Source organism: Homo sapiens, chromosome X (assembly GCF_000001405.40).
Source record: "Homo sapiens chromosome X, GRCh38.p14 Primary Assembly".
NCBI classification, from domain to species: Eukaryota; Metazoa; Chordata; class Mammalia; order Primates; family Hominidae; genus Homo; species Homo sapiens.
The window spans coordinates 31,624,224-31,639,061 of record NC_000023.11 but is presented as its reverse complement, the minus strand read 5'-3'; the positions used below and the strand labels follow the sequence as shown (position 1 = coordinate 31,639,061).

At 34.6% G+C, this 14,838-nt stretch overlaps 1 protein-coding gene across 20 annotated transcripts in view; it reads left to right on the top strand.

Moving 5' to 3' along the window:
• Positions 1 to 14,838, top strand: part of DMD (dystrophin) — a 2,220,167-nt gene that overhangs the window by 1,700,327 nt on the left and 505,002 nt on the right. For all 20 annotated transcript variants that reach the window (XM_006724469.4, NM_000109.4, XM_011545467.2 and 17 more), the window contains 1 exon segment: positions 11,200 to 11,389. In XM_006724469.4, coding sequence (XP_006724532.1) covers positions 11,200 to 11,389 — 190 coding nt within the window.

Sequence of the window (14,838 nt, the reverse complement as noted above, 5' to 3'; positions counted from 1 at the left end):
CAAGACTAAATGAAATTACCATTTCAGACCTGCCAGATTGTCTAGCCCAGTCTTTTACAATTCTGTGATTATCACTGCAATTATAATCTATTTTCACCACTTGAATGGCATGATCTCTATAAAAGGGTGGTGATAACACTCATCTATTCTCCTTCCCCTCACATAGCTATATCAATCGCCCCCTAACCAGTTGTTGATAAATGCAGTTGAATTTTATGTAAAAATTATAAGAGATATTATTGTAGCTGTCCAAGACATTTAAAATGCTAAATGCAACTTACGTGGAGGCTATAAGAGAAATATGAACCCATTTATTGAAGAGATTAGCTAATTTAGTAAAACAACACAGATATACCTGCATACAGGGATAAATCCCTATTGTCTAAATTATTGAGATAAAATAATGTTTTACAATGAAAAACTTTTAGACAAGTAGGTAAGTAAAATGCAGCAGTCTATTTGCATTTCATCTGGGCATTTGACAAAGTCTTTCGTTATACTCTTGTGAATAAGTTGGAGAAATACTGGCTAGATGCAAGATAAATTGGATGGCTTAGAAGCCACTTCATGATTTTACGCAAAGGATGTCGATTAATAGACCAGTGTCAGGTGGTGATGGAAGATCTCTGGTGCTATGTCACAAGCTTCTGTTCTCAACCCTGACACACTGGATGTTTTTGACAGAACATGAGTAGAACTACAGAGAGGAGGCCCATCAAACTTATGGGTGATAAAAAGCAGGGAGGGCAGGAGTATTTTGGGTGACAGAAGCCAAATGGGTGTCTGGACAGGATGCGTTTTAAGGCACTTTTGGTACTTGATGTCTGAAGACCAGGATCAAACTTATAGGCAATCTGAACATTTGCCAAAATAACAGGTTAATTTTGACAGAAGTTATTATTTGTATGCTGTCTATTTCTTTAATACACCTAGAAAGTATTGAAATAACATTTTTTGCAGACACTCATTTTGAAAATTCAGAAAAAAAATTGTTAACTTTCGTGGAAGAGTAACAGAAACTCAGTCATTGACAGCTAAATACAATGTGTTGCCCAGTAAAATAGTCCACCCCTTCACTTTCATGGCTAATATAAAATTTGATGAAAGATACAAATTCCAAAGATTGAATATCTGTACATTTGCAAAGCAAAACACAATTTTGGGCACAGAATTGCTCATTCTCATTTTTAAACATCTTGGTTATAACTGAACAATAGTTTTTTATAACAAAGATAATATTTTCAAATTATTATGAGGTTCAACTGAAATAATTTATGTGAAAGCAATGTCTAAACTCTAAAATTCTATATAAATATAAATTATTATTCAATAAATTCACATCAAGAAAATTTTAAGTTTTTTAAGAACAAGAGCCTATGGCCTTGTTTTTAGAAGCTGTATACCTTATCGGTAGTAGGTTTATTGACTTTAATTAAATTTATTGAGTATCTATTAAATTGCCAGGAACTGTGGTGTGAATCTTTGCCCTCAAATAATTTACAGTAAGTTGTGGTTGATGAATGGTGATGACGATGATGAATATCCAGACTATAGTAAGTGGTATATTCATAAGTCAGAGGATTCTTAAAACCAGATGCACCCTCAGATTCATTCCTTTCATGTTGTACTTCTAATTGAAAAAAATAAATCCTAAATTATGACTGTTCTTTATAAATTTTAATTGATCTTATAAAAGGCCATCAATACATTTCAAAGTATCTAGGTCTTTTAAATGCAATTTTTCACCCTGGTAATTAAAAGTACGAAAGCAAGAAACTTTAAATCTTTATTTTGATAAGTTTTAATTAGCTCAAGCTACTTGTAATCCCACATCTTGTCTTGTAAATCATATCTGAGCCATTAAAATAGGTTTACAATTAGAAGGGCAATTCTTTTAGAATCTACTTAAACTAAGTCACTTCGACAAATTAATTCATCGTTCAGTTGGTTTTATTAAAATGTATTTATTTCACTGTAAAATGTCTAGTAAAGCAATGTATGAAGTATTTTATTTTCATGTTAGAAATTTTATGTAAAAGATATCCCAAAATACATAGACATTCAGATACTCTCTGTATCATTAACCAACATTTACTAACTTATCATTTAGAGAAGGCCAAAATTGTATGTACTATAACTTTGTATAATTTCATAAGAATTAAAATATTCGATTAATGCCTGTAATGCCTTCTTTCTAAATCAAATCCTCAAGCTTACCTCGAGTTCAAAGTTCAGTATTTATTGTAACACATCTCATAGATGACGGATGAAGATGGTAAGCAAAGGAATAATAATTTCTTTTCTCTTTTCACACATATATACACACATACCCCATAATCCTAATTCATATAATAATAACAGAAAACAAAGGGCTTTTGAGAATAGTGACATATTAATATCCATTATATTTACTTCACAGGGAGACTGGCAAGTCTACCTTGAGAGGTAATGTCTTATAGTACAGTGGACTAGATTGTTTCAAGATTTGTCATTTATTTTGGCAACTCACCCAGCTTCCCTGAAAGTTAAGTTCCTCATCTATAAACTGTTCATGATAATTACAACCTGCCTCATTAGCCTCATCAAGCTATTTAAAATATGAAAGGAGGTGCTATCTGTGGATCCTGTCAAAGGAGCTTGAAAACTGCAGAACATTATTTTAGTGTAAAATACTATAACAATACATGTTGAATATAAAATGGCTTTTTCTTAACTTTTATTTTAAGTTCAGGAGCACGTGTGCAGGTTTGTTATATAGGTAAACTCATGTCATGGGGGTTTGTTGTACCGATTATTTTGTTACCCAGGTATTAAGCGTAGTACACATTAGATATTTTTCTTGATCCTCTCCCTCCTCCCACCCTCCCCACTCCAGTAGGCTTCCACGTCTGTTGTTCCTCTCTGTGTCCATGTGTTCTCATCATTTAGCTCCCACTAATAAGTGAGAACATGCAGTATTTGGTTTTCTGTTCCTGCATTAGTTTGCTAAGGACAATGGCCTGCAGCTCCATCCATGATCTCTGAAGAATCTCCACACTGGTTTTCACAATGACTGAAATAACATACACTATAACCAACAGTTTATAAGCAATGCTTTTTCTCCAGAACCTGTTATTTTTGACTATTTAGTGATAGCCATTCTGACTGGTATGTGATGGTATCTCCTTGTGGTTTTGATTTGCATTTCTCCAATGATCAGTGATGTTGAGCTTTTTTTCATATGCTTGTTGGTCGCATGTATGTTTTCTTTTAAAAAGTGTCTGTTCATGTGCTTTGCTAAAAGGGCCCTTTCAAATGTGTATTATTAACCACAAGAGAGTACTGAGTAAGAGACTAGGTAATAAAAGTCACAAATATTTCGATATCATAATTCAGAATTTAGATCAGCGGTTATGAAATTGTTCGTATTTCCAAATTCCACTGACAGGACTCTACTATAAGTTTATTTCATCTGTTGATATGTTTTTAGCCACTTCTTTCTTTTAAAGTGAATCTGTTGTGTGTTTGCCATTTGATATTAGAAAACTGAACCTGCCTGCTTTGCTGTCTTCTGAATATTATGTATCAACAACTAACAAGCTACAGTTAGTTGTTTTGTTCTGTTTTTCTCTAAGTTATTGTGGATGAGGATATATATAACTGCACAGTCTTATCAGGTTTGTAAGAGATGATCTTAGGCTCATCTTTTAAATTGGTTTTTATACTATTTTAAACAAATCCTTTTAGGAGAGAAGAAAAGCTGCTTAGTCTATCAACATTAGGAAATATATCTTTAAAGAGTTTATCACTGCAAGTAACCAAAGCCAACTTAAAAATTCGCATTATACAAATCATTGAGAATTTATTTAGAACAGAAATGTGTCCAACTATAGGTCAACACCAATTTTAAGTGTGTAATTATCTGGGAAGTAGTGTTAACTGCATTTTTTTCTAAAGATCCCTTACAGTTGTATAAATGCCCAAAAGGATATTTTGAGTCTCTGTATATTAACCAAACCAAATGTAATTCATTACTCCCAACATTATATTTCAACCTCTCCAAATAGTACCTTTTCGTATTGTATCAGCAGAAAAATATAAAATGCAGATCTTAAAGAGTATCAATCTCTTTAAAAATTCAAGAAAGAAAAAAATATGTGTGTATAGAGACGTGTATTTCATCTGCTCATAACACTGTGTACATTTCTTTATCAACTAATTTTTTTCAGTGATTTATGAGTTGAAATACAAATCAAATGAAACGGGTAATGCAAAGTAAAGTAGAAAACACATTTTCTACTGCTGTCTCCTAATGCAGGTCTTTTCAGGAAAGTACTAATGGTTTTAGGGAAAGTGTATAATTATGGTTGTTTCCCTAATGATAAATTCGCAAATCTCTATTTTAAAAACATTCATAAGGTTAAAAAAATGAGAGATGAAATGTGTCTTTCAAAATTCCTTACGTGATTGATAATGCCTATACTCTCTTACTATCTAAAGTCTAGGTGATATGTATATTTTTTTTAAAAAATAAAATGTCTGTATCAGTGAAGGAAGTTTACACAGATAGCTTCAAAGCTGTGGTTTATCTTTGGAGGATTAATCTATTTCTCATGCCAGTGTGTTGCTACTGCACATGTTAAAAAGTCATCCTGTGGTGTCTGGGGTGACAAAAGATGGGAATGAGTTTTCTGAGAACTAATCAGCAATACTTTGGGAACATTTAGGTCATGGTTTCCAATTAACTCTGGAGAGTTTGAGTAATTTAGTACCAGACCTCAAGAGAGAGGGGATGAAAACCTCGTTAATTCATATGTTGGTGAACGGCAAACCAGCAAATTTGCATTAAAAATGGATTTTTATTTTAAAGCAAAGAGCAGCCAGATCTTTTCTGCAATAGTTTGGGTAGGAGAATATCTTTGTATGTATGTGTTCCCTTATGTGTAGGTATTTGTATGTTTCAACGACCCTGCATATGGCAATAACAGAAAATTAAATTTGTGCTCTAAAATGAAGACCAGGATTCAGTGACATAATCTTCCTTGTGCCTTTCTTTCTTTTAGTACAATGAATATATCAGAGAGGAGTGTATTCCAATATCTGTCTTCAGAGTTACAAAAACTTCTTTTCTAGAATGCAAGACTTGGGCTATACCCCCAGCTCTGCCACTTAACTTGTATACAACCTTGGGAACATCATTACAATTCTCTCAGAATCAATCTCTCCAGCCCTAAAATGAAACCAGCAAAAGCCTGTACTGTATATCTAAAAGGTTTTTTATTTTTATGAAAATTAGTTAGGCAAACTTTTGTTAAGCATCCATCACTCTATTTTGAGATAAAGCCTTGCTGGATGATCTCCACCTCTTTTGATGGAAAGAGTAAAACATGTTTAAGATACATTTATCACTTGTTTGGCAAATTGAGATAGAAGTTTATGAAAGCAGATTGATATATGTTACATTTGAGCTACTGGGAAGGACTCCAGATGGTTTATAGCCTTAATTACATTGTAACTCTAGTTAAATGTTTACCTATCTGTACCCTCTGTTAAACTTGAATATGTTAAATACCAAAGTCCATGTATTATTGGATTTTCTGTCACCATCATCAGGCACAGATCCTGGTACACAATAGGTACGGAATGGATGCATGGATGAATTATTGAATTAGATGTTGGTAGGCATGTGGAAATAAGAATGAGGTTCAGAATTAAAGATAATCTGTATCGAGTGTAAAGCCATTGGCAGAGAATGAAATATCCAGCTGAGTATACATAGAAAAAGAAGGTAGGTAGAAAAATGGAAAATATCTTATGAAGTGATGATAGAATAACTCTGAATATGTTTGAAAACATATAAAGAGTTATGTGGATGTTAGCTTTAAAAATTATCTTCCATGCTGTACATTAGATCTGCCATTCTTCATGCTGTGGATGAAAAGCAAGCATCAGAAGTTAAATTAAAATGATGTCATATATTCCTCGCCTTACAGTTTCATAACAGAGGAGAAAAGAGAAACATTCTCTCATTGCCACCACCCTTCTCCAGTCATATTTCTAGGTAGATGTTGCCCAAAAACAGATAAAACCACAGAGTTGGTTTTGCTAGGAATGGACTACTAATCCAGGCAATGTTGACAGCTTTTGCTTCTCATTAGTGCACGTTACTAATAGAATTGCTAGAGATTAAAAGGAATCCTTTCTACAAAGTGCTGTATATCCATAGGTGACAAAATTCTAGCTTCCCCTCACAAGTACAATATAAAGTTATGTTTTAAAATCAAAATGCAATTTACTAGCAAACTAGTAGGAACTGTTATGGTTACAGGAAATTTGAATTTCAGATTAACTCTGGTTCTATGAGTAGCGGTTGATATGGCAAGAATCATTTTGATCTTACATCCAGGTGCTACTAAGGTCTCTCTGACCTATATCTCACCAAAAAAAGGAACAAAATAATGATCCTTTAATCTTTCTCCTAAAATATCATAGGAAATGATAGTGGCTAAATTGCAAATAAACTAGGAAGGAAAGATTCAGAGTATTTTATGTGATTACTCTATAACAATGCCAGGCCATAGTGAAAGTGTTATTTAGCAGAAGACTGAGTTCTTTGAATGTTCCTAATTTATCACATTTTAAAAATAACCTGGGCAAAATAACCTTTCATATCAGATTGAGCCTTTTTCTAAAAATACTCAATATGTTTCTGTAATTATACCTACACACTTACAATTCCACAGTATAATGCACCGATAAAGTATTTTTCATCCATATATCTAATAGTAGAATGGTGTGTATACAATAATTAAGCTCTTTAGGCTTACCCCGGAAAGCAACAAGTTTCCCTTCCTTTTTCCTTTTTATGTATTATGTTGGCCATAAGAAATTGATGATATTCAACTCAATGCAGTCTTAGAGATTTATTCAGAAATACCATGGTGTGTGTGTGTGGCGGGAGTAGGGTTCTAATGACAGGTCAGAACTTACTTATTTGATTTCTTCATTGATAATCAGGTCTTAAAAAGAAAATGGGTATGCTGAAAACATGCCTTCTGTGATTCTTTACCTTCATGTGCAGTTGTCTCTGGATAAACACTTTCTTTGGCACGTATAGGGTTGCACTAAGCTTTATAGCTCCAACACTCCGCCCCTTCAGTAGATTCTTGCTTGTAACTGATGATAATGCAAACCTGTATTATCTATAGGTCTCCTTAAAGGGCAACCAAAAGTTCAGTAGCAATTCAGGCACAATTACTGCATGTGAGAATCCTCCATCTTGTTCCCTTTGGAGACCACATATATTTCTTAGGCAAGTATATTTTTAAAATCCTTGTTCAGCATGACAATTCAGGAGGTCAAGTTCTCCCAGAAAGCAGATTCTGAGAAAGTGATTAGCATGAAGGAATTTTATTGGAGAGTGCTCTCAGGATTAACACCTGTGAGCGGAGGAAAGGAAAGGGAGCAGGATTGGGCAGAAGGAGAAGCTGGGCTACCATACAGTCACAACTACAACACAATCAACCCTCCGCCTCTCCTTCCTAGCCTTCCCCAGGAGGATCTCTGAAGTCTGAAGGTAGAATAGCCCTTCAGAATTGTCCTGAGTTGCAGCAAGGGACCCAGGATTTTATACCCCACAACTCTCCCATCAACCAATACGTGCAGCCCGTCTCGGGGACATAGTGGGTAACTTTGGGCTAGGCACCTCTCTTTAGCTGAGTCCAGCTCTCAGACAGGAATAACAGCTGAGGACTGTCAGCCAGTAGCACTACCAGCAGCTGGGGTCAGAAGTATTTCAGTCCTGAAAAGGGGTCCGGGCAGCCCAGCTTAGCATCTACTATGCCAGTCGTTCTCAAATCTGGTTCCTGGCAACTGTGATTCTCAAGCTTTAGCATATATTGGAAGGCTTGTTAAAACACAGCTTGCCGGATTTTACCCACAGAGTCTCTGATTCAGTAGAGCTAGGCTGAGGCCTGGGAATTTGCATTTCTAATAACTTCTCAGACGTTGCTGGTGCTGCTGGTCCATGGACTATGAGAACACTGTTTCATGCTGCCCTTATTTACATACTGAGAATGGTACACAGTGCTCTTATGAATAGAATGAAAACCTTTTGAAATCACATTATTCCTTACTCCATCAAATTCTCAGCTATTTTTGTGCACCATAAAGCTGGAATAGCTGATTATAAAACTTTGTTATGTAAAAAAGTACTTAACCAATACAGTAGATTCTGTTTGCAAAGCATTATTACAGTTTCTAATATCTGGTCATTGTTACTTGTAAAATTCAGCCAAATTTTCTCCAGGGCCTGTAGTTTGATAACTTGGACAAAGGAATTTAAAAAAAAATCTAATTCAAGACCTTTGGTTTTTTTTCTGAACATATCTTTTTTTTCTTTATGATTCTTATTTTTACATTTTACTTATCATATAAGCCACTTAAACCCATATGGTTCCGGAAAATTTAAAACTATATGATACATTTAGAGCATGTTGAATGCACAGATATGGAAATTAAGTATTCTTGACTCATTCTAGACTAGACCTGGCACAATTAAAATTTAGGGATTCAACGTACACACACATAGATTCCGAGAGAAATGTTGAAGCCGTAAAACCCCCACACAAGCAGGAAACAACAGTCTTACCTATTATTCAAGAGGCACGTAAAGGAGCTCATTTGAGGAGATTTTCTGCTGTTATTGCCATCGAATTTTTAACGTATTTTCCAAATTAGAAAATATTCAGCCTGATGTTGTCAATATTTCAGACCACAAGGGTATCATTTAGGAAAATGGTTTCTTACTGTCCTGAAAGAGTTACTGTTCTTCCCTAAGGGCCTAATTTACAAAGCAGCAAACTTGCTGGTAGGATTTGGCTGAAAATCACATTGTCTCGGTAGAACTCTTTCATCTGATTTATGTGCATTGCATTTTGCAAATAACTCTTGGAAAGTTATTTACTAGTTACTTTCTCTGGAAGCAGAGGGTAAGCGGCATTTCTAGTTTAAGGATAGAGGAGCTAAGATGCATCAAGCGCAGCTCATCATGAAGCTGATGCTGATAAAATGCACAATATTACATTCTCTAAGTTTCACTCTGCCATGGGAGAATTTCATATTTTTAAATTTTGTTTGAAATTGGACTACATTAGAAAATATGTCAAATGTCTAACCCTGCATTTATATTCTGGAATGTGACAGCTTATTTCTGTTCCAAATTTTGCACTGGAGATGGAGTAAGTCTTAATGCAAACTGCATGAAACTGCCACTTTTATAGGTCACACCCAGTCAATTGTCAGCAGTTACACATGGTTCAAACTGTAAGGTGTATGCCCAATTGTAGCATTGAGATTCGTGGAGTTGTTGCAGTGGTTCTGAATTTTTCAAGCATGATACATAAAAAGATAAATGACTCTTTTGATATTTCTCCTTGCATTGATAGTTTGCCTGAAAACTAGATAAGCAGGGAGCCGGCAGTCCACGTTAGCCCTTGAACTACATGAGGTTTAATTTATTTGCCCAACCAGAACCCTACACTACCTTTCAGCTGTGCAGTATTAAAGTTTATTTAGGAGTTGATAAATAGCTTAGTGCAATGCTTCCTTTTTTCCAGTAGCTACATCCTCATAAACCTATTCTACCCTCCACCAGTTAATGCAGACAGAAGATTTTTATCCAGTATGAGCACTGAAACTCCACTGTGGAAGACTGTGTGCTCAGCAAAAACCTCACCCATGATGAATAAACAGCTCTTCCGGGGGCTTTGCTGCCGCTGGCTCGGCAGGAGTTGTTTATTGCCTGGTTTGCACATCCCATGATAAAGTTGCTGCTGAAATAAATTGCAGTTTTGCATAATTATTGACAATCACATCTTAACAAGCAATGTGTATCATATTCAAGTGTTCAATTTTTTAAAATCCATTTTTAGCTTATGTTTAATCCCAGAAAGTGTTTGTGTAGTAATAGAAGGCAAATAAGACATTTAAATAGAGTACTAATTTCCTCATTGCAGACAAAGTTTACCTGAATCTTTTTCCATAGGACTGTTACTGCCTAAGGCAATTTTCCTTTCTAAGCTATTATTATATAGATATTTGCTGAGGGCATATGTGTGTGTATCCACAATACATGCATTTTATATATATATATATATATATATATATGATCAAAAATATGAATACATTTTTAGAGTTTTTGTCATGAAAGAGTTTGTTTCATCTTTTTAAAATATTACAGGAATGGGGAAATGGGATATGGGTAGAAGGAACTAATGTTTTTGAGTAACTGTAATGTATAACTGTATAACGTGGGGCACTCAACTTCACAGGAATTTTTTATTTTAATTCTCATCACAGCAATAGATATTGCAGATGAGAAACTGAGAATCAGAGAGGGAACTTGCCATATCACGTAAGTGGTAAAGAACACTGGGAATTGAACTCAGATCTGCCTAGTTTTTAAAACTCTACTCTTTTTCATTACACATAACATTTTTATTTTGGAAAATGTTCTCAGTTGTATGATCAAGTAGTTAAATATGAAACTAACACAATAATTATAACTGATGTCATGCAAAATGATAGTTTGCACAAAATGATAGTTTCTATGAAATGTTATTTCTTTACTTGTTAAGTCTTTCTTCCTTTGCCCTCCAATCCCCTTCTTTTTGTCTTTTCCTCTAGTCTTTTCCTTTTGATTCTAGGTTTGTATTTTCTTGACTTTTCTCCTTGCATATCAAATCCTTGTTTTCTGCCTCAGAGCAGCATCAAAGACAAGCATGGTACAGGGATTTTAGGGTTTTAACTATAAAGGTTTGTCTCAAATTTGGCAGTATATTAAAAATAAGCTTTCAAAATTGACCAACAAAAACTACAAAATTGAAAAAAAGGTACTTTGAACTTTCACATGTTCAAATATATGTATATATATTTCACATATATATATGAAACCTCCTCTGTGGAGAGGGGTTTATAGAAATCTGTAATTGTCATTCTTGCATGCCTTCCCCCATACAAACGCCTTTAAGTTAAATAAAAATGAAAGTAAATAGACTGCACAATATTATAGTTGTTGCTTAAAGGAAGAGCTGTAGCAACAACTCACCCCATTGTTGGTATATTACAATTTAGTTCCTCCATCTTTCTCTTTTTATGGAGTTCACTAGGTGCACCATTCTGATATTTAATAATTGCATCTGAACATTTGGTCCTTTGCAGGGTGAGTGAGCGAGAGGCTGCTTTGGAAGAAACTCATAGATTACTGCAACAGTTCCCCCTGGACCTGGAAAAGTTTCTTGCCTGGCTTACAGAAGCTGAAACAACTGCCAATGTCCTACAGGATGCTACCCGTAAGGAAAGGCTCCTAGAAGACTCCAAGGGAGTAAAAGAGCTGATGAAACAATGGCAAGTAAGTCAGGCATTTCCGCTTTAGCACTCTTGTGGATCCAATTGAACAATTCTCAGCATTTGTACTTGTAACTGACAAGCCAGGGACAAAACAAAATAGTTGCTTTTATACAGCCTGATGTATTTCGGTATTTGGACAAGGAGGAGAGAGGCAGAGGGAGAAGGAAACATCATTTATAATTCCACTTAACACCCTCGTCTTAGAAAAAGTACATGCTCTGACCAGGAAAACATTTGCATATAAAACCAGAGCTTCGGTCAAGGAGAAACTTTGCTCAGAGAAATAACTTAGGGATTGGTTTATTAAATTTTAAAAGTTGACATTTTTGAGTGTTTATTTAATATTTTACAGGGAAAGCATCTGTATGAATTGTCTGTTTTATTTAGCGTTGCTAACTGAATCAGTTTCCCTTCATTACTTTCAAATATGTTTTGAAATGTTAATCTGGCATTTTGTAGCTTTCTTCCTAACATGATCTGTGAAAATAAGAATGAGATGGCTGAATTTGTCGTAGTTAATGATCAAACAATTTTCAGACAATTGTTTTTCCTAGAAACAAAAATTATTTCCATAAAGTTCCATATGCATAAACAGTGAAAACAGAACGTGGGGTAGTTTTGTTTAAATGAAGTCTTGGTGAGAATCATATTCTGTAGTACAAGGAGGCTCTTAAAGTTTATTCTCAATACCTGATATAATTTTCCTGAACTATTATGGAGTTTTGTTATGTATAGTTGGTTTTTCTGACTTGATATAATAACTTTACTAGTCTCTCAAATACAATTTGGATATAAATCATTATAATAAGATGATTGATTTTTTAGACTAACTTTATTTTTTGATATTTTTAAACTATTATGAAAAACTATTATGAAACTATTATGATATTTTTAAACTATTATGAAAAGTATATTCTAGTTTGAATAATTCCAGAATCAAATCATAATAAGCAGAAGTTCTTCTCCTCTCCCTCCTATCGTTCTCCTTCTCCTGTTTTTCTTTTTTGATATGATAGTTGATCTACTTTGCTGCTCTGTTGCATAGAGTACGTAACAGTGGCAATGTATGGCTCCTGAATTTATCGTTCTTGCTTCATCATCCTGCTTTGACCCCACTTTCTCCTCCAAAATGCGTGTTGAGTTAGTTTGATCATTTGGAGGTAATTTGTTTGGAACAGTATCAGACTTTATAGATATCTCCCATGGCTTGTGATAGAATATAAGGGCAATGCAAATGTAGAGTTTTTTGCTCACTCTTCGATGTATGGTTAGACAATGTACCACTGTAATATATTTGGCTTAGGCTATTTCATAAATAAAATTTTATTATAAAATATTATAAATGCTGATAAAGCTACTCCAGAATTTTAATAGATATGTGGGTTTCCCGGCCAGATGCGGTGGCTCATGCCTGTAACCCCAGCACTTTGGGAGGCCGAGGTGGGTGGATCACCTGAAGTCAGGAGTTCGAGACCAGCCTGGCCAACATGGCGAAACCCCATCTCTACTAAAAATACAAAAATTAGCTGGGTATGGTGACCTGCGCCTGTAATCCTAGCTACTTGGGAGGCTGAGGTGGGAGAATCGCTTGAACCCAGGAGGCAGAGGTTGCAGTGAGCCGAGGTGGCGCCACTGCACTCCAGCCTGGGTGACAAAGTGAGACTTCATCTCAAAACAAATAAATAAATAAATAAAAATACATGGGTTTACATTTTACCCATCAGCTATGGTAGGTAAATAATAAGCTTTGATTAAGTCTATTTTAGTCTATTTTTAGCAGATTACTTTGAAAAATAAAGAATAACCCAATGACTAAAAAATTATTTTATGTCAGGGATTTAATAAAACATATCTTTAAATCTAGTTGAGGGCAAAAATACGTCTATTTTCTACTATACAATTTGTATTTATATCTGCTGTATTATATAATGAAAATTTATCTCTATTTCTAATCTCAAGAAACTGCAAGCTTCTGAATCATTAAAGGGAAGATTCACCATGTGTCCTAACTATATTTACTATGGAAGCATGGAAAATAAATATTTTATGTTTAGATTTCTGATCTCTCTTTCAAAAGCAGTTGGAAATTATGCTGAGAAAATGTCTTAGCTTATCCCATGTTACTCAAGAAAATGTATTTATTCGTTTTTGTCCAGTGGCTTAACCAAACCACAGTTTATTTGTTGCTCACATAAAGTCCAGTGTCGATCAGGCTACTCTTTTCCATCTTTGAGCTAAGGCACATATTACACATAACTTTCAGTGTACCCGAGGTAGAAAAAGAGAGAGCTTGGGAATAAGGCAGGGGCTTTTTACTGTCTCAACCCCAAAGTGATAAACTACATTTATTCTCAAAATCCAGATAAAACTCCCATAGAGCCTCTGAAAACCTCAACATTTGCGTCTTAACTATAATAAGGTTAACTAAGATTCCAAAATTATTTTAAAACAGAGACAGTTTCCCTCTTCCCTGGCAGCTAATATTGTATTTTCTATAAATCCACTTGCCCAAGGTTTAAACTACATTTTATGGATTGAAATGACATTTATAGCCAACTCCTGATTTTTAGTTAGATGGTTGGATAATGATCTTTTGATGAAAGACTCGGAGATGTCATGGTAAAACGGTGAACTACTGAAACTATTGATTATTGTTAATGGCACATTTCAGCTGATTGAATTGAGTCAAGAAACTGGTGTTGAAGAGCAACAAATGGAAATGCCGAGCTTGAAAATAAATAAAGCAGCATACCTTAAGAGATTACATGCAATTTCAGTATTTCAGCTAAATGGAAGTGTTTGCTTTTTTTCCTCTATGAATTTTTATTTTGAACAAAAGGAATTTTCTATAATATGTAGGTAGGAGAAAAGTGAAATGGCATGCTTTTTCACTTCATTTGAAGAAGCTGGTAGCATTGTATTCATAGATTCATGCTGTATAGCAATCATAGTTCTCATATATTAAAAAAAAAGGAAATTTGAAATGCCTAGCCAAAGCAACAGCTCTGCCAACAGATTTTGATATATCTGTCTACCCCAAAAGTAGTGATGATTTACTTCATACAAATGCTAGTGAATGAAGAGAGAGGGTGAAAACCTTCACAAAATGTGTTTTTCTCTAAGACTGTCAATCCGTTTTTCTATATATGGAGACTCCAGCTCTTGCTAGACTACCTATCACTTTCGTCTATCAGCCACTTCGTAAGATATTTATTCTCTCAGCAATAATCATAATTCATAGATTCTTTAAACATACATGTAATATAAAGCATATACATTCTGAATGGAATTAACATGATTAATTCTTCTCTGAAAGACATTAGAATTTCCTCCCGTATTATAAAAAGGTGTAACTCACTTTCCTTACTAAAATCAAGAACTTTACCGTCGTCCTTGTACTTCAGGATAAGGGGGTGTTTCTTATAAATATTGTTATTTCTGATATGCTAA